Genomic DNA, 19408 nt, shown 5'->3' with positions numbered 1-19408 from the left:
TGAGCCACCAAACCTAGCTGAGGCTGGTCTGTGGAGTTTCACCATGTTGGCCTGGCTGGTCTCGAACTCCTGACCTCTGGTGATCCACCTGTCTTGGCCTCCCAAAGTGCTGAGATTACAGGAGTGAGCCACCAAACCTAGCTGAGGCTGGTCTGAGTTTTAATGTGGTTGCTTTGGCGGGGCGGGGGCAGAGACAGTCTCACTCTGTTGCCCAGACTGGAGTGCAGTGGCACGATCTCGGCTCACTTCAACCTCTGCCTCCTGGGTTCAAGTGATTCTCCTGCTTCAGCCTCCCAAGTAGCTGGTACTACAGGTATGTGCCACCATGTCCAGCTAATTTTTGTATTTTTTGTAGAGACAGGGTTTCACCATGTTGGCTGGTCTTGAACTGCTGACCTCAAGTGACCCTCCTGCCTTGATCTCCCAAAGTGCTGGGATTACGAGAGTGAGCCAGTGTGCCCCCGGTCATGGTTGCTTTTTTAATACTTTCAAAAATGCTTAGTAGTATATTAGGTTTCCAGTTTTCCATACGGAGAGGTCAGTCATTTTACACTGTTTAGTGGTGGGTAGAAACTGAGACATAGCAGTTGCATCTACAGTTGCAGAATATCCTAGGATCTGGGCTTCCTGACTCAAGGTTTCATATTGTAATACCGTGTTTCTTGATCATCCTCAAGTAAGGGGCCTAAAAGGGTGAAAAGGTCTAGTGTCCTTTAATTTTTACTGTGCTTTTGAATGTGCCCCATTAAAGAATCAAATTATGAGTATATTTTTACAGTACTAATTGGGAGGCTGGCCAGCATAACTAAATATCAAGGAGACATGTTTAATACTTTTGTACCCAGTAGAATTTTTACATTGTTATGTTTAGGTCCTATATCTGCCATTAAAAATCTTCTTGTATCTTCCCATTAGGTGGTCGTTCTCGTTACCGGACCACTTCTTCAGCCAACAATCCCAATCTGATGTATCAGGATGAGTGTGACCGAAGGCTTCGAGGAGTCAAGGATGGTGGCCGGAGAGACTCTGCAAGCTATCGGGATCGTAGTGAAACCGATAGAGCTGGTTATGCTAATGGCAGTGGCTATGGAAGTCCAAATTCTGCCTTTGGAGCACAAGCAGGCCAATACACCTATGGTCAAGGCACCTATGGGGCAGCTGCTTATGGCACCAGTAGCTATACAGCTCAAGAATATGGTGCTGGCACTTATGGAGCTAGTAGCACCACCTCAACTGGGAGAAGTTCACAGAGCTCTAGCCAGCAGTTTAGTGGGATAGGCCGGTCTGGGCAGCAGCCACAGCCACTGATGTCACAACAGTTTGCACAGCCTCCGGGAGCTACCAATATGATAGGTTACATGGGGCAGACTGCCTACCAATACCCTCCTCCTCCTCCCCCTCCTCCTCCTTCACGTAAATGAAACCACTCAAGTGGTAGTGACTCCAGCAGACTTAATTACATTTTAAGGAACACTGTCTTTCCTTTTTTTTTCCTCTTCGCCTTTTCTTTTTTTTTCCTTTTTTCTTTTTTTTTTTTTAATTTTTCCCCCCAACCATCGTGATTTGTCTTTTCATGCAGATTAGTTAGAATTCACTGCCAGGTTTCTTCTGCCCACCAAAATGATCCAGTCTGGAATAACATTTTGTAAAAAAAAAAAAAATATATATATATATATATAGCTGACTGGAAGAGATTAATTTCTTCCCCCAACTTCTTGCATGTTGAAGATATTTGAGCTATTTTTCATCTAAAAGAGTAAGGTATTAGGCCCTTTTGTGGGAGCCCCATGTTTTGTTTTTCTGAGTTGGTGGGGAGGGAGGGAGGGGGAGGGCTGAATTGTTTTGCAGAGGAAGATGGCATCTGTGCTTTAAATTTCTCATTACTGGGTTAGAAAACAAAGAGGGATTGCCCTGCACATTTTCTTTTGTGCTTTTAAATGTTTCTTAAGTTGGAACAGGTTTCCTCGGGCCTGTTTTGACTGATTGCTGGAGTGCATTTGATAGTTAAAAATTACTAATTGGTTTTATTTCCCTTCACACTCTGCCTCCCCACTTCTCCCCCCGTTACTGAAAAATAACCATTTTAGTGTCAGGCTAGAAATTGAATTGCTGAGTTTTGTGTATCCTTTAAATTAAAAACCACAAGTGTTTATTGTAGTGGTTAAACTGTAGCATCTCAGCATCTGGGTGGAAGCTGCCTATATTTCTTCCCAGTTTAACTGGGGACCATCTGTGAAATTAATTTTCCATCCAGACAGCTGCTGTGAGCAAATGAACATAAATGCTCGCTGGAAATTTACTAACCAGTTTTTATATTGACCTGCAGTGTAAAAAGCACATTTAATTATAAACAATATATTCAAAATGGGCAAATTTTATTTTCAAATGCAGTGTAGAGCTAGATTAAAAGCAACTCTTTGCCACCTACTCTGCCCTTTTGGCAAAGTTACCTTGAACAAAGAATCTTAAGGGTTTATTAAGAACTCTTTATTTTCTTCATACCCTGTTCTCTGCAGTGCTTTCTAACAGCTTCTGGGTGCAGATTTTCTTCGGCATCCTTTTGCACTCAGCTTATTACAGGTAGGTAGTGCTTAAGAAAAGTCATGGAGGACTAAAGCCTAAGTCCTTTTCACTTTTCCTCCATCTGAAGGTAGGTGAGTTCATCCTCTTCATGGTAATGCTGTTTTACCAAGACTTTATAGCAGATGGACCCAGAAAGAATTTTCTGCTATTGTGTTCACTACAACAGGATAGGGACATCAGACAGCCCCAGAAACCCCTTCCAGATCTGATATGGGACTATTAATTTTTATGCTGTTAATTGGTATTCATTCACAATGCAGTTGAAGGGGGAAGGCTCCACTGCATTCTTTGGCTAAGGCCTGAATGCTTGCTCATCTGTAAGATCTATACTCGAGGTTTTGTTTTCCTTTTAAAATTCTTTAGGGAGAGAGGGATGGTTTCTGAGGGGTTCTGAAAGTATGATTCAATGTGCAACATACAGGTAGGTCTTCAGCATAAGCTGAAATATATGCATGTAAAAACTTTGACATCTTTTTTTTTAATTTTCCACTTTCTTCTTAACTTTACTTCTCTTTTTGTCCCCCCCCCATCTTACAGAAGTTGAGGCCAAGGGAGAATGGTAGGCACAGAAGAAACATGGCAAACTGCTCTGTGCTTTCAAACCAAAGTGTTCCCCCCAACCCCAAATTTGTCTAAGCACTGGCCAGTCTGTTGTGGGCATTGTTTTCTACAACCAAATTCTGGGTTTTTTTCTTCTTTCTTTAAACATAGAGGTACCACCACAAGGGATGCCCTACTCTCTCGCAGCTCTTGAAAGCATCTGTTTGAGGGAAAGGTCTCTGGGCAAGCAAGTGGTTATTTGGATTGCTTGCTTCCCTTTTTCCACCTGGGACATTGTAATCATAAAATAACAGTAAATTCCAAACCTCAAAAACTATTATGGCCTGAGCACAGCTGAAATCTAGCAGAGTTTAACTCTTCTGCCTCCATGTCTGTCACTTATAATTCAGGTTCTGCTGTTGGCTTCAGAACATGAGCAGAAGAATCGTTTTATGCTAGTTATTGCATTCATGGTTGAAACTCAACTTAGGGAAAGGGTTCCAATGTATTAAGCAATGGGCTGCTTCTCCCCAATCCTCCCTAACAATTCGTTGTGTGGACTTCTCATCTAAAAGGTTAGTGGCTTTTGCTTGGGATCAGTGCTCTCTATTGATGTTCTTGCTGGTCTCCAGACACATTCCTGTTGCATTAAGACTTGAAAGACTTGTAGATGTGTGATGTTCAGGCACAGGATGCTGAAAGCTATGTTACTATTCTTAGTTTGTAAATTGTCCTTTTGATACCATCATCTTGTTTTCTTTTTGTAGGTATAAATAAAAACACTGTTGACAATAAGGTGTGAGCTTTTATTGCTTAATTCTCTGAATAATTCAACGTAGACGTCTTAAAACAGTTTTTGTTTCAAGACAAAGATGGGGGATATTGGATTGACTGATTACTTTCGCACCTAAAACTGAAAGGAAAAAACTTAATACAAGAATTGGAATTGAAAACCCTAGCAGGATACCTAGTAGGTAAGGGTTTGGATATATCTGTATCTGCTCATAAGTAAAACAGTGATTGTGCAAATGGTACTCGCCTAAGTACCATTAGGTTATTGGTATTAAGGTACTAAGTACAAGGCAGGTATCAGCCACTGGTTTGAAAAAATTCAAACCAGTAAAAGATGAGTCACAAAACTCCTCCAGCCAAACCTGGTAAATTTGGTTTGCTTCTGGCCTGAAGGCAGTGTGAAAGTGAAATAAGTTTCACACTTAAAACTAGCTGACACCTTTATATCTTGACCACCTAAATTTGGTCATCTACCTGGAAAGTGGAAATTCACAAGAACGTACCCTAATATTTTAACTGGTCTTTAGTTGGGACATTCTAAGAGGAGGGACATTGTTCCAGATTGGGGTTGACTTGCTCATCATGAGTCTTGCCCTCAGGCCTTGGAGAACAATCATTTATGTTTTTTATTTCGTCGGTAAGACACCTTAAGGTTTCTTGTTGCAGTGAGGCACCATCTTTGTGCAGGTGGCCGAGGTTTTTTATGACCTTACAATGGGTCTTTAAGGGCGATCTATTGATGAGAAGGTCTTCTGGGTGGGATGATCAGGTTTTGCTGAAATCCACACTAAACACTTTTCTGGTTTTAACATTTGATCCCAAATTATGGATAAGTTGCCAAAGAGAACATTCAAAATAGTTTCCTTCATGTGCTTGTTAAGGCGTAGACTGTCTCTGAAGGTCCTCAGATTGGCATTGGAAGACTTAACTTCTTTCCCTTAAGGACTGGAAGAAAATGGAGATGAAATAAGAATTTACCATCTGATGAAAGGACTGCTTTATAACTTGATGCATAATCTTGGTATCATCTCTTAATGGCCGGCTCACAGTATATGTTCGATTGTTAAAGCAAAGGGGGAGTCCATCTCCGGTTGACTATGGACCTACTGATCCCCGACTTGGTTACTGGCACCCTTCCCCCCAGCTGTAAACTTAGCGATTGGCCTCAAATTGTCTATTGTACATCTCATACAATCAAATCAGCAGTCCTTCTCAAGTCCTAGAACTTGTGTCCACATGTCTTTCTACCTAGAGCCTTTTTCCTGATCAACTGCAACTGCCCCATAGCTAGTCACTGTACTTGGACTGCTTTCTACCCTACATAGCAGCTAGTGGATTGGGTTTTTTAATGACCCAATACCTGCCCTTGGCAATCAGAATGTAGTGCAAGCCCCTTACCCTGGCCTACGAGGCGCTAGGTCAAGCTTGTCCAACCCGCGGCTCAGGATGGCTTTGTGGCCCAACACGAATTTGTAAACTTTCTTAAAACATATGAAGTGTCTTTTTGTTTGTTTTTGCTCATAAGCTATCAGTGTATTTTATGTGTGGCCCACGACAATTCTTCAGTGTGGGCCAGGGCAGCCAAAAGGTTGGACACCCCTGCCCTATGTGAACTGGTCTTGGTTGACTCATCTCCAGGTTTATAGATTTTGACCCCACTAGGCTTTTTGTCCATCACACCAAGCTGGTGGTTGCCTTGGGGCTTGTAATAAGTTCTGGAATGTTTTTCACTACTAACCAAGTATTCTGTCAAATGTCATCTCACAGCTGTCTTGCATAGTACACATAACCTATTGGCCTGCATGTTTTTATGGCATTTGTTTCTTTATTGAAAATATTTGTCTTCTTGCATTAGAACACAAGCATTGTGGATGGCAGAGACTTGACTGTTCACATCTGTATCTGCTGGAATACTTATTAAATGGATGAGTAACTCCTTAGGCCAGTGTCAGCATTGCTGTCATCCCAGGACCTACCTTTGGTCACATACAAGTAGAAGAAGTCACAGTAGAAGATGGTTTGTACTACTCCAGACACGACTGCAATTTGGTCATAGAAATTCTCAGTCTGGTACCGCCTGATCCAGTTAGCCAGGTAGAGTGCCCGGTACAGACCCAGAAAGAACAGGTAGTGAGTAGTTATGGTCTCAGCCTCTCCAGTCTTGCTGATCATGAAGAGCTGGGGCAGGATAGCCACTGATTCCAGATAGATAGAGAAAGTCCAGAGGATCTGAGCCAAAGAGAAAGCAACCAGAGACTGAGCAAGACCAAGAAGAGGCCCATCTTAAAAGAACATAATTACTAAAACAATAGCTTGCTGGAGAAGGTACAGTAAGGAGGGAAAAAGTTCTCAATAAAAATTATAATATTTTAATCAGTTTAACCTACCATCTCTAGGTAAATATAAGGGTTTTTTTTTCTAATTTTTGAAAGATTATACAGTACACTGCTTTTTTCACAGTGTAGCGTGAGCATTTATATAGAAAACTACTTTTAATTTTTTTTTTTTTAAGATAGGGTCTTGCTGTTGTCACCCAGGCTGGAGTGCAGTGGCATGATCATAGCTTGCTGCAGTCTCAAACTCCTGGGCTCAAGTGATCTTTCCATCTCACCTTCCTTAGTAGCTGGGACTACATACAGGCATGTGCCACTACACCCAGCCAAAAATAACTTTTTTATTTATTTTTTTGAGATGGAGTCTCGCTCTGTCTCCCAGGCTGGAGTGCAGTGGTGCGATCTCGGCTCACTGCAAGCTCCACCTCCTGGGTTCACTCCATTCTCCTGTCTCAGCCTCCCGAGTAGCTGAGACTACAGGCGCCTGCCACCACGCTCGGCTAATTTTTTTTTTTCTATTTTTCAGTAGAGACAGGGTTTCACTGTGTTAGCCAGGATGGTCTCGATCTCCTGACCTCATGAGCCACCGTGCCCGGCCAAAAATAACTTAAATGATAGTTTCATAGTATAAAATCATAATTGAAGCCACAGTTTCTTAAAATCTAGTCATGTTGCCAGGCTCACACCTATAATCCGAGAACTTTGGGAGGCCGAGGTGGGTGGATCACTTGAGGTCAGGAGTTGGAGACCAGCCTGGCCAACATGGTGAAACCCCGTCTCAACTAAAAATACAAAAATTAGCTGAGTGTGGTGGCTCGTGCCTATAATCCCAGTTACTTGGGAAGCTGAGACAGGAGAATCACCTGAACCCAGGAGGCAGAGGTTGCAGTGAGCTGAGATCCTGCCACTGCACTCCAGCCTGGGCAACAGAGTGAGACTCCATCTCAAAAAAATAATAAAAAATTAGTCATGTCCATAAACACCAGCATCAGAATCTCCCATGATGCTTGTTGCCTGCAGATTCATGGGCCACAGTCCAAACTTACTGAGTTGAAATTTCTGGGCCTGGACTGTGCTACAGGGATACAGGGATCTGCTAATCGGTTGAACAGAACGTCTCAACAGCCAGAAGTAGGGCTGTGATGCCTGCTTGGTTTATGGGCATCATGACTATTGAGATGTGCTCATTTCCAACTAAAGCATTGTAAATAGCTTGTCAATTTCTTCTCAACTTATAACTGAAAGATACATGAGTAATGGTCACAGTTGTAAGCAGAAGGCAAGCCCAGGGTCTGGAGGGAAGGATGCAGGGAGCATATTTCCCTTTGAGAACTGGTACTCAGTCCATTCCCTTACCTCCAGCAGAGTGAAACTGTAGTTTTCAAGGAAGGAAAGGCCAATGACTGGGACCAGAAGAAACTCCAGGCGGAATGTGTCATTCTCACTGTCAAAAGTTTTACGGAATTTCCCATATATCATGTACACTGTAACATAGGCACAGAGGAGAAAAACCACCTAAAAGGGGAGAGAGACATGGGAATCGAATCTATGAAGTCATTTCCCGGCCTATTTACTACGCTCCTAGCCTACCAAACCTAAGGGTCAGTGTTCTGCCATAATGTAACATGAAGAGGTTAAATGTGTTTGCAATTTATCTTGGGTCCAGTTGCCTAGAATTTGAAATCAGTGACCCTTTCATTAAATAACTCCATGCTTCTATACTGGGACTGACAGTGCTGCCATGAACAAAGGTGCCCTTGTCGTCCCCTTCATTTGTGGAGCATTAGGTGAAACAGGATTGGTCTATTTCAGGGGATTTACCAGAGGCATTCCAGGGCTCTTGAAACAATTTTAAAACAATTTCCTGGATATGCATCAGTGACTTCTGAGCATTCTTCCACAAGGACTAGCCTTTTTTTTTTTAAATGTTGCCCAGTCTGGCCTCAAACCCTGGGGTCGAGTGATCCTCCTGCTCCAGCCTCCCTAGAAGCTGGGACTACTTATGGCCTGCTAACATCCCTTGAACTAACTGACCATTGCTCCTTCAGAAAAGCTCTCCTAATCACAGTAGCTGTCCTCTGGCATATAATGATTTCATTTTGATATGGCCTCCAACCTTCCAGGCCAGCACTTCTCAAATGAGTGTGCATCAAAACACAGATGCTGCCTGGGTGTGGAGGCTCACACCTGTAATCCCAGCACCTTGGGAGGCCAAGGTGGGCAGATCACCTGAGGTCAAGAGTTTGAGACCAGCCTGGCCAACATGGTGAAACCCTGTTTCTACTAAAAATAAAAAAACTAGCCAGGCATGCATGCGGGCGCCTGTAATCCCAGCTACCTGGGAGGCTGAGGCAGGAGAATCGCTTGAACCCGGGAGGCAGAGGTTGCAGTGAGCCGAGATCATGCCATTGTACTCCAGCCTGGGGGATAAGAGTGAGACTCTGTCTCAAAAAAAAAAAAAAAAAAAAAAAAAAAAAATCACAGATGCTGTCTCTTCCCTTGCCCCAAGAGCTTTTGATTTCATAGGTCTGGATGGGCCTGAAAGTTTGTTCTTCCTTTTTTTTTTTTTTTTTGAGATGGAGTCTCGCTCTGTCGCCCAGGCTGGAGTGCAGTGGTGCAGTCTTGTCTCACTGCAACCTCCGCCTCCTGGATTCAAGTGATTCTCCTGCCTCAGCCTCCTGAGTAGCTGGGATTACAGGCGTGCACCACCATGCCCGGCTAATTTTTATATTTTTAGTTTCACCATGTTGGTCAGGCTTGTCTCGAACTCCTCACCTCAGGTGATCCGCCCGCCTCGGCCTCCCAAAGTGCTGGGATTATAGGCATGAGCCACCGAGCCCAGCCTTAAAAGTTTGTATTTCTAACAAGTTTCCCAAGTGACGCTGATACTGCCGGAGCAGGACCACACTGGCCTAGAGCACTCCTATTTGTACTCCTATTTGGAGTTATTTCCTCGAAGCAGTCTTTTTTTCACTACAATGAGGCACACATTCTGTCGCCATAGCTCCATGTGAACATACTCATTTTAGCCCGTGATCACATGCTCTGTAAATGTCTAGGTACAAGTCCATCTCCCCTCTAAGAGAGGACTCCGTGGCAAGGTCCACCTCCTAATCCCCAGCTCCTAACTCAGTCCCTGGCACAAAACAAATGCTGGAATGAGTGAATGAGGTGGTCACTTTTTCATTTCATAAATGTAGAAACTAGCCTCTTTGAGCTTCCTAGACCTCATTCAGCTATGGCAAGGGCTGAGTCTGCTGTCTCTGCCAGGAATGCCCAAGGCTGACTTGGGCTGAGAAATGAACTAGCAGGTGATGTTTGATACATGTGTGAACTTAAGTAGACGGTGATTTCCAGTCCTCAGATTCACATTCACTAAATCTGAATGAGTTCAACACCTCACAAGTAACAGCAACCTCCACTCTACCAACTAGTAACAACATGCCTGAAATCCCAAAGGGATGTCTCTGATATGGAAGAAAAGGACAACTCACTTTAGTTAAATATTTTCTAGGTGCTGTATGTTATCTCATGTGATCTTCTCAATAGCCCTGCAAGATAGAATTCCCCCATGGAACCCTTGTTCCTTAGAAATAAGATTCCTAGGCCAGGCACGGTGGCTCTCGCCTGTAATCCCAGCACTTTGGGAGGCCGAGGAGGGTGGATCACGAGGTCAGGAGTTCGAGACCAGCCCGGCCAACATAGTGAAACCCCGTCTCTACTAAAAATACAAAAATTAGCCAGGCATGGTGGTGTGCACCTGTAATCCCAGCTACTCAGGAGGCTGAGGCAGGAGAATTCGCTTGAACCTGGGAGGCGGAGGTTGCAATGAGCCGAGATCACACCACTGCACTCCAGCCTGGGCAACAGAGGGAGACTGTCTCAAAATAAAAAAGACTGGGCATGGTGGCTAATGCCTGTAATCCCAACACTTTGGGAGGCCGAGGTGGGCAGATCACGAGGTCAGGAGACCATCCTGGCTAACATGGTGAAACCCCGTCTTTATTAAAAATACAAAAAAAAAAAAAAAAAAGTTAGCCAGGCATGGTGGCACACATCTGTAATCCCAGCTACTCGGGAGGCTGAGGCAGAATCTCTTGAACTTGGGAGGTGGAGGTTGCAATGAGCCGAGATCGCGCCACTGCACTCCACCCTGGGCGACAGAGCTAGATTCTGTCTAAACAATAAATAAATAAATAACTTGAACCCGGGAGCAGAGACTGCAGTGAGCCAAGATCGTGCCACTGCACTCCACTCTGTCTCAAAAAAAAAAAAAAAAGGGGGGGCCAGGTGTGGTGGCTCACGCCTGTAATTCCAACACTTTGGGGGGCCAAGGTGGGCAGATCACGAGGTCAGGAGTTTGAGACCAGCCTGGCCAACATAGTGAAACCCCGTCTCTATCAAAAAATACAAAAAGTAGCCGGGCGTGGTGGTGGGTGCCTGTAATCCCAGCTACTCTGGAGGCTGAGGTAGGAGAATTGCTTGAATCCAGGAGGCAGAGGTTGCAGTGAGCCGAGATTGCACCACTGCACCCCAGCCTGAGCCACAGTGCAAGACTCCATTTCAACAACAACAAAAAAGAAGACTCCTGGCCGGGCGCAATGGCTCACACCTGTAATCCCAGCACTTCGGGAGGCCGAGGCGGGCAGATAACAAGGTCAGGAGATCGAGACCATCCTGGCTAATAAGGTGAAACCCTGTCTCTACTAAAAATACAAAACTTAGCTGGGCGCAGTGGCAGGCGCCTGTAGTCCCAGCTACTCGGGAGGCTGAGGCAGGAGAATGGCGTGAACCCGGGAGGCGGAGCTTGCAGTGAGCCGAGATTGCCCCACTGCACTCCAGCCTGGGCGACAGAGCGAGACTCCGTCTCAAAAAAAAAAAAGACTCCTAGCTGATCATGGTAATTCCAGAACTTCGGGAGACTGACACAGGCAGATCACTTGAGCCCAGGGGTTTGAGACCAGCCTGGGCAACATGGTGAAATCTTGTCTCTATTAAAAATACAAAAAAATTAGCCAGGCATGGTGGTGCGTGCCTGTAGTCCCAGCTACTCAGGAGTCTGAGGTGGGAGGACCCCTTCAGCCCGGGAAGTTGAGGCAGTGAGCCATGATCGCACCACTGCACAAGAAATAAGATTCCTATTAGATAATGTGTCCAACTAAAATCTACATCTTGGCTGGGCATGGTGGCTCACACCCATAATCCCAGCACTTTGGGAGGTCGAGGTGGGTGGACCACTTGAGGTCAGGAGCGTGAGACCAGCCTGGCCAACATGGAGAAACCCTGTCTCTCCTAAAAATACAAAAATTAGCTGGACATGGTGGCACATGCCTGTAGTCCCAGCTACTTGGGAGGCTGAGGCACAAGGCAAGCTCCCGGCTTGAAACCAGGAGGTGGAGGCTGCAGTGAGCTGAGATTGCGCTGCTGCACTCCAGCCTGGGCAACAGAAAACAGTGAGACTCCGTCTTAAAAAAACAGAAAGAAGGTGTGTCCTTTGATCTTTACATGGCTGGTTCCTTGTTGTCACTAAGCTGTCAGCTTACATGTCATCTCTTTGAAGATGCCCTGACCACACTCCCTGAAGTAGCTCTCTAATCCTTCTCTATCACCTAAATAATTTTTTTTTTCTTGAGACGGGATCTCACTCTGTTGCCCAGACTGGAGTACAGTGGCATGATCATGGCTCACTGCAGCCTTGATCTACCAAGATCAGGTGATTGTCCCACCTCAGCCTCCTGAGTAGCTGGGACCACAGATGAGCACCACTACGCCCAGCTAAATTTCTTAAATTTTATGTAGAGGCGGAGTCTCACTGCATTGCCCAGGCTGGTCTCAGACTCCTGAGCTCAAGCGGTCCTCTCGCCTTGGCCTCCCAAAGTGCTGGGATTACAGGTGTGACCCTTTATTGAATGTTTAATATATGGCAGGGTTTTTTACATTTACATTTATTATCTCATTTAATGTTCCCAACCAAACCCTCTGAGCTAAGTAATGGTACTGTCTTTTTTTTTTTTTTTTTTTTTTTTTTGAGACAGAGTCTCACTCTGTCACCCAGGGTGGAGTGCAGTGGCGCGATCTCGGCTCACTGCAACCTCCGCCTCCCAAGTTCAAGCAACTCTCCTGCCTCAGCCTCCTGAGTAGCTGGGACTGCAGGCATGAGCCACCACGCCCGGCTAATTTTTTGTATTTTTAGTAGAGACAGGGTTTCACCTTGTTAGCCAGGATGGTCTCCATCCGCCCGACTCGGCCTCCCAAATTGCTGGGATTACAGGCATGAGCCACAGTGCCCAGCCCTGTCCTCATTTTTGCACGAGGACACTGACATACAAAGAGGCCCAAGATGAGGTCTTGCAGCCACTAAGCAGCAAAGTCAGGATTCAAACCCAGGTCGGCCTGGCTCCACAGAATGAGTTTCCAAGCAGGCTACCTCACAGTTTGTGGGGGCTTGGTGGCTTCCCCCAACCATCATCACCCAGCCCCTCACCTTCATTACTGTGTTGTAGATGGAGATGAAGTTGGTGAACAGGTCCAGGTACCTGGTGGTGAAGACGAGAGCAAACAGGATCTGGCTCTTCCCAGAGATGCCTGTGGCCAAGGGTAGACAGGAGACAATGAGGACACAGACTCCCAAGCCTGCCCACCCTCAAGAGGTGCACAGCCTGGAGCTGGGGAGGCCTCTAGAGTGTCCACTCCCACTCAAAGACCTCCTGTCCAGGGCACTGTCGCTCCCTAAGGGCCAGGAAACTCACCCTTCCCATCGGATCACTTGAGTCGTCGTTCCTCTCATTAAACTGTAATCTGTCTCCCAGTCTCCAAATAAAGACACGAACACCGAGTTCCCAGTCCCCCTGCGTGTGCCTGCCTGGGCTCTTGCTCTGGGGAGGATGTCGGGGGTGGTGTGAGTCGGGCTTGGTGGGGGTTGTTGAGGCTTCTCTTCACTCCACCCCCAGAGTTCCACTGACAGTCCCCAAAGCTCAGTCTTAGGAGGAACAACTCACTGACTTTACAAGGTGTTGATTCACCAGGGAGACCAGAGCAGGCAGAGGAAGGTTCAGGGCCAGGGGAGCATTCTATTTTATTTTTCAAACTGTAAGATTTAAAAAGCCTTTTTTCTTTTTTCTTTTTTCTTTTTTTGAGATGGAGTCTCACTCTGTTGCCCAGGCTGGAGTGCAGTGGCGTGATCTCGGCTCACCACAACCTCTGCCTCCTGGGTTCAAGTGATTCTCCTGCCTCAGCCTCCGAAGTAGCTGGGATTACAGGTGCCTGCCACCACGCCTGGCTAATTTTTGAATTTTTAGTAGAGACGGAGTTTCGCCAGGTTGGTCATGGCTGGTCTCAAACTTCTGACTTCAAGTGATCTGCCCGCCTTGGCCTCCCAAAGTGCTGGGATTACAGGCATGACCCACCACGCCCAGCCAAAAAGCCTTTTTTCTAGTTACAAAAGTTATGCCTATATTTACTCTTTGCAAAACAAAAATCAAACAATATACAAAGATGCAAAGATAAAAATATTCCAAACCCCTAGTGTTCATCCTTCCATATCTTTGTGAACATGTACACACATGACACCTATGTGTACACATATGATGCACATGGATGCACTGAGTTGACAAAAAAGGGTTCATACTCTCCATGATGTTTCTTTCTTTTTTATTTTTTTCTTTTTAGAGAAAGGGTCTTACTCTGTCTCCCAGGCTGGGGTGCAGTGGTGCAATCATAGCTCACTGCAGCCTCTATCTCCTGGACTCAAACAATTCTCCTATCTCAGCCTCCCGAGTAGCTGGTAACTACAGACACAAACCATCAGACTGGCAAATTTTATTATTAATTATTATTATTATTATTTTTGTAGAGACAGAGTTTCACTATGTCGCCCAGCCTGGTCTCAAACTCCTGGGCCCAAGTGATCCTCCTACCTCATTCTCTCAGTGTTGGGATTATAGGCGTGAGCCACCGCGCCCAGTCTAAATGCTGTTTCTTGACCCACTTTGGTCTCTTTCTTTTTTTAACTTTTTATTTTGAAAGAATGTTAGATTTACAACAGAGTTGTAAAGACAGTACAGAGAATCCCACATATCCAGCTATATCTAGTGTTAACATCGTATTTGGGCCGGGGGCGGTGGCTCATGCCTGTAATCCAACACTTTGGGAGGCCGAGGCGGGCAGATCACCTGAGGTTGGGAGTTTGAGACCAAGCCTGACCAACTTGGAGAAACCCCATCTCCACTAAAAAATACAAAATTAGCCAGGTGTGGTGGCTCATGCCTGTAACCCCAGCTACTTGGGAGGCTGAGGCAGGAGAATCGCTTGAACCCAGGAGGTGGAGGTTGCAGTGAGCCGAGATCGTGCCATTGCACTCCAGCCTGGGCAACAAGAGCAAAACTCTGTCTTAAAAAACAAAACAAAACAAAACAAAAAAACATCGTATTTAGTGACAGTACTTTATCAAAACAAAGAAATCAACATCAGTAGAGCACTGTTGACTGAACTCCAGGCTTTATTCTGATTTCACCAGTTTTCCCACTGCTGCCCTTTTTCCATTCCTGGATTCCATCCCGGAATCCATGCTGCATTTTGTTGTCATGCTCCTTAGTGTCCTTTGGCCACTTTTTATTTATTTATTTATTTTTTGAGACAGAGTCTCACTCTGTCACCCAGGCTGGAGTGCAGTGGTGCGATCTCGACTCACTGCAACGTCTGCCTCCCGGGTTCAAGTCATTCTCCTGCCTCAGCCTCCCGGGTGGCTGGGATTACAGGCGCCCACCATCATGCCCGGCTAATTTTTGTGTTTTTAGTAGAGATGGGTTTTCACCGTGTTGGCCAGGCTGGTCTCGAACTCCTGACCTCAAGTGACTGCCCACTTCGGCCTCCCAAAGTGCTGGGATTACAGGCGTAAGCCACTGTGCCCGGACAGCAGTCTTGGTTATCAGATGGAAGAAACAGTATATATATAGGGTTTGGTTTAACCCGTGGTTTCAGGCATCCACTGGCAGTCTTGGAACATATCCTCCGTGGATAAGGGGGAACTACTGTGCTGTCTAATTCAGGGTCTGGTTCCCCTGTACCCCTGAACTGTGCCTTCTCTAACCATCCCTCTGGTTCCAGACATTTGGGGTGGGAGAACATTTTTTTTTCTTTTTTTGTGAGGCAGGGTCTCACTCTGTCACCCAGGCTGGAGTGCAGTGACACAATCACAGATCACTGCAGCCTCAACCTCCCAGGCTCGGATGACCCCCCTACCTTAGCCTCCTGAGTAGCTGGGACTACAGGCACATGCTACCATGCCCAGCTAATTTTTATATTTTTTCTAGAGACAAGATTTTGCCATGTTGCCCAAGCTGGTCTCAAATTCCTGGGCTCAGGTGATCCTCCTGCCTCAGCTTCCCAAAGTGCTGGGATTACATGGGTAAGCCACTGCACCCAGCCTGGGGGAACATTTTTAATGAGCAAGAAGGAACACCCCTGAAGTCCCTAACATTCTGGAGAATGTGCTGGCTTTAGGGCGAGCCTCGGTCTCACATTCCTCACCTGCCAAACGGCCCCTCATGCAGAGTGGCAGGACTGAGCTGAGGAATACACAGTGCTCAGTGAGAACCTGAGTCCCTCTGGGGGGTCTAGCACGCGCGCACGTGCACTAGCCGGGGTGAGGGCAACAGTGGGGCTGGCAGTGGGTAATGAACCCCACTGGGGGAGGCCATACTGACCTGAGGCCAGCTCTGGGATGGCCTGATGTTCATCTCACTGAGCCCTCACACAGACTTTGACAGAGAAGCCCTCAGCCCCACGAAGGACTGCCTGGGAGGCAGCCCTGGTGGGGGACGCTTGGTCACCCGCTTGGGCCTTCCCCTACCCCTCTTTTCTCTTCATCCTCAGCCTGCCAGTCCCCTGGGTTTTACTCACATTTTCCTTAGCACTTTGGGAACCCTTGTGATCTTCAGTTTTGTTTTGCTTGTTTGTTTGTTTGAGACAGAGTTCTGCTCTTGTTGCCCAGGCTGGAGTGCAATGGTGCAATCTCAGCTCACTGCAACCTCCGCCTCCCAGGTTCAAGCGATTCTCCTGCCTCAGCCTCATGAGTAGCTGGGATTACAGGCACCTGCCACCATACTCAGATAATTTTTTTGTATTTTTAGTGGAGACGGGGTTTCGCCACGTGCCAGGCTGGTCTTGAACTCCTGACCTCATGTGATCTACCCGCCTTGGCATCCCAAAGTGCTGGGATTACAGGTGTGAGCCACTGTGCCCAGCCCCCCGGTGATCTTGAGCACAATAGTTTTCACACTTTTGAAAACAATCATTTCCACCAGGAAGCTGCACATGGAGACCCGGGACACAGAGGACAATGTGAGCCTGGACTGGCCAGAGTCCCTCCGGGGTCCACTAAGCATAGGTGGACCCCACTGCCAGGGGCAGCCCTCACTCCCATTTGACAAATGGGAAAACACAGGCCCAGGGTCACACAGCGAGTCAAGGGGAGGAGTGAGAGTGAAGCCCAAGTCTCTGGTCTTTGGGGCTGGGTCTGTTGAGGTCATACCAGGCCCTGCCTCCATCACCTCTGACTTCTCTCTGTGCACACACAGGCCCATCCCTGCCACCCAGCTGCCCTTTTTCTGTTCCCATAGTACTCACTATGGCCTCCAACAAACCGTGTCATTTGCTCAGTTTCCTAGGACTATTGTTTATTGATGGCTTCCTACCACTAGAAAGTCAGGTCCACCACTTGGCCGGGCATGGTGGCTCACACCTGTGACTCGAGCCCAGGAGTTCGAGACCAGCCTGGCCAATATGGCGAAACCCCGTCTCTACTAAAAATACAAAAATTAGCTGAGTGTGATGGCGGGCGTCTGTAATCCCAGCTACTTGGAAGGCTGAAGCAGGAGAATAGCTTGAACCTGGGAGGCAGAGGTTGCAGTGAGCCGAGATTGCGCCACTGCACTCCAGCCTAGGGGATAGAACAAAACTCTGTCTCAAAAAAAAAAAAAAAGAAGTGGGCGCAGTGGCCCACGCCTACAATCCCAGCACCAGCACTTTCGGAGGCCGAGGTGGGTGAATCACCTGAGGTCAGGCGTTCAAGACCAGCCTGGCCAACATGGCGAAACCCCGTCTCTACTAAAAATACAAAAATTAGCCGGGTGTGGTGGTGCGTGCCTGTAATCCCAGCTACTCAGGAGGCTGAGGCAGGAGAATCGCTTGAACCTGGGAGGTGGAGGTTGCAGTGAGCCGAGATCACACCACAGTACTTCAGCTTCAGGGACAAAGCGAAACTCTGTTAAAAAATAAAAATAAAAAATAAATAAAAGAAAGTCAGCTCCACCAGGGCTGGGCCTCTGCTGTCCGGGCTGTATTCTAGGTGCCCAGCAGTGTCTGGCAGACAGCGGCCAGGTACCAGTGTCCCCTCTTGGTCATGGTTGCTCACTCCGTGCAGGGCCTTCTGCAAAAGTGCAGGAAGAGGTTGGAGCTGATTCTCCCCTCACCAGGGCCTGCTGCTCCGGGTCCCCCACTCAGCATTCCTGGCCACCTCCCCTGAGGAAGAACCTGAACTGTCTCTGTACCTGTCTCTCCAGAGACCCCAAACCCAAATGGCCTCCAGGCCTAGAACCACTCCCTCCACACCGTACTGTTGCTCATGTCTGCACCAACCCCCACCCTGCCAGGCCTCCCCCTGCTCTGTGCCTTTTCTCTCAAAGCTTGCAAAGCAACCTGTTCAGGCCCCCTTCCAGGCCCCTTCCCGGCTCCCAAACCATGAAGGGCTCCCCAGACCCAACTCCCTGGCCTGGCAGAAAAGGCCCTTTCACATCTGGACCAGCCTCCCTCCTGGACTCATCTCCCTCCAGACCACCCCAAATCTGGCTGCCCACCCTTCCCGGGGGATGCCCGGTGCTTGGTGACCTCCATGCCTCTTCATCCCCGGAGCCCTCCACAGCACACACTTCCTGGATTGACACCTGCTCGTCCTCCGGGACCAGCACGGAGCTGCTCCTTCCACAGGGCCTTCGGGGCCCACTCTCAGCCTTCTCAGCCTCCTCAGCCCCACGAGGAGCCTGAGCTCACTCCTGCCTCTGCACACCCAGTGCCAGGCACAGGGAGGGCACCACGAGGATGCCGGTGGACAAAGATGGCTGGAGGAGGCTCTGGCAGCCTTTCGTGGCTCTGGATCTGTTGGCGACCGCGAGTCCAGCCTCCAAGCTTCTCCAAACCCCCAGCAGGGCAGCCAGAATGCAAACAGGGGACCCCTCCAGCCTTCCCCGGCTTCCGTTTAGAGGCAGCTCCATACCCGCCTGAGCCCGGCTGGTGCCCTCCTGCCACATCACAGCCACCGGTGCCACACATGCAGGCAGGGGAGGGACGAGGGCTCACTTTGGGGGGCGGGGTGGGGTCTGGGAAGGGGCAGGGAAGAGAAGACCTTGAGAATCGTGGGCCGTTCCTGAGTGCATATCTGCTTCTCCCCACAGTCGATGGTGGAAGGAACAATGGGTGTAACTGGTGGGAGGGAGGGGTTGTCACCTCCCTTATAACCCCCTCTTCCAACCAGCAGTGACACTGCCAACCTGAGGGGGCGTCTGTGCAGGAACAAACCCACCCGCCTCCCATCATCTCGAGGGGTCCTCCTCCTCTGATTTTATACAACTTTACATTGTTTTTGGAAGTGGAGCTCCGCAAAGTTTCAAGGACCCCCACGCCGGAGTCCCCACCCTGAGCAGACACCTGGAGCGCCCTGCCCTGCACGCAGGGGCATGAGGCTGGCCAGAGAGGGGGTCCCGCACCTCCCTGCCAGGCGCCCCTCACCCTTGCAGCACTTGGACCTCCAGATCTTCCCCAGCAGCAAGATCATGGCCAGGAGGTGGCTCAGGTCGCCGAGGATTCGGAACACGTTCATGGTCCAGCCAGTCAGTCGTGCGCCCGCGCCCAGCAAACTTCTAGGAAACTTTCTGGCGGGCAGGGCGGCTGCCACGTCTCCGGCCCCGGTCTCTAGGTGCCCCAGAGCCCTGCCTGCGCCTCACAGCTCCGCGATCGCACCCGCGCGCCGCCGCCCACGCACTCTTGGCCGGGCGGTGACGTGGCCAGGGCGGCCGCCGGCGCAGGGTGGGGAGCCAGGAAGCGGCGCGGCCCGGAGATCCCGCCTCCCGCCCATCCCAGCGCCCGGCTCCCGGACTGGGCGGCCC

General features: G+C 48.3%; 2 protein-coding genes across 4 annotated transcripts in view, besides 1 other annotated feature; one reads left to right on the top strand and one right to left on the bottom strand.

The window, feature by feature from the left end:
• Positions 1 to 3918, top strand: part of DDX17 (DEAD-box helicase 17) — a 22874-nt gene extending 18956 nt beyond the window's left edge. For both annotated transcript variants that reach the window (NM_006386.5, NM_001098504.2), the window contains exon 13: positions 916 to 3918. In NM_006386.5, the coding sequence (NP_006377.2) occupies positions 916 to 1421 (506 nt within the window). In that variant the 3' untranslated portion in view covers positions 1422 to 3918. The remainder of the gene's footprint in view (positions 1 to 915) is intronic.
• KDELR3 (KDEL endoplasmic reticulum protein retention receptor 3) lies at positions 3909 to 19260 on the bottom strand. Of its 2 annotated transcripts, NM_006855.4 has the most exons (5): positions 19032 to 19260; positions 12733 to 12833; positions 7605 to 7763; positions 5892 to 6144; positions 3909 to 4860 (listed from the first exon to the last, which is right to left on the bottom strand). In NM_006855.4, the coding sequence occupies exons 1-5, from the start codon at positions 19120 to 19122 to the stop codon at positions 4820 to 4822; spliced, it is 645 nt and encodes a 214-aa protein (NP_006846.1). In that variant the 5' UTR covers positions 19123 to 19260; the 3' UTR covers positions 3909 to 4819. The 2 variants fall into 2 exon arrangements, with proteins under 2 accessions (NP_006846.1, NP_057839.1); NM_016657.3 differs by lacking the exon at positions 3909 to 4860 and having other exon boundaries at positions 5721 to 6144.
• Positions 19179 to 19408: a silencer, noted in NCBI's record as "silent region_13720". NCBI's record gives its function as "represses an Ori minimal core promoter by ATAC-STARR-seq in GM12878 lymphoblastoid cells {active_cell/tissue: GM12878}" and the evidence as "EXISTENCE:reporter gene assay evidence [ECO:0000049][PMID:35858748]".

Source organism: Homo sapiens, chromosome 22 (genome assembly GCF_000001405.40).
Source record: "Homo sapiens chromosome 22, GRCh38.p14 Primary Assembly".
Lineage (NCBI taxonomy): Eukaryota > Metazoa > Chordata > Mammalia > Primates > Hominidae > Homo > Homo sapiens.
Note: the sequence above shows the minus strand (reverse complement) of the source record. Positions and strands in the feature narration are given on the sequence as shown.

Excerpts from the sequence above, each read along its gene's own strand:
- KDELR3 (NM_016657.3), bottom strand. The coding sequence starts at position 19,122 with ATGAACGTGTTCCGAATCCTCGGCGACCTGAGCCACCTCCTGGCCATG. Across the intron at positions 12,834-19,031 it reads GAGGTCCAAGTGCTGCAAGG|GCATCTCTGGGAAGAGCCAG; the intron begins GTGAGGGGCGCC and ends CCTTGGCCACAG. Across the intron at positions 7,764-12,732 it reads TCTACAACACAGTAATGAAG|GTGGTTTTTCTCCTCTGTGC; the intron begins GTGAGGGGCTGG and ends CTCCCCTTTTAG.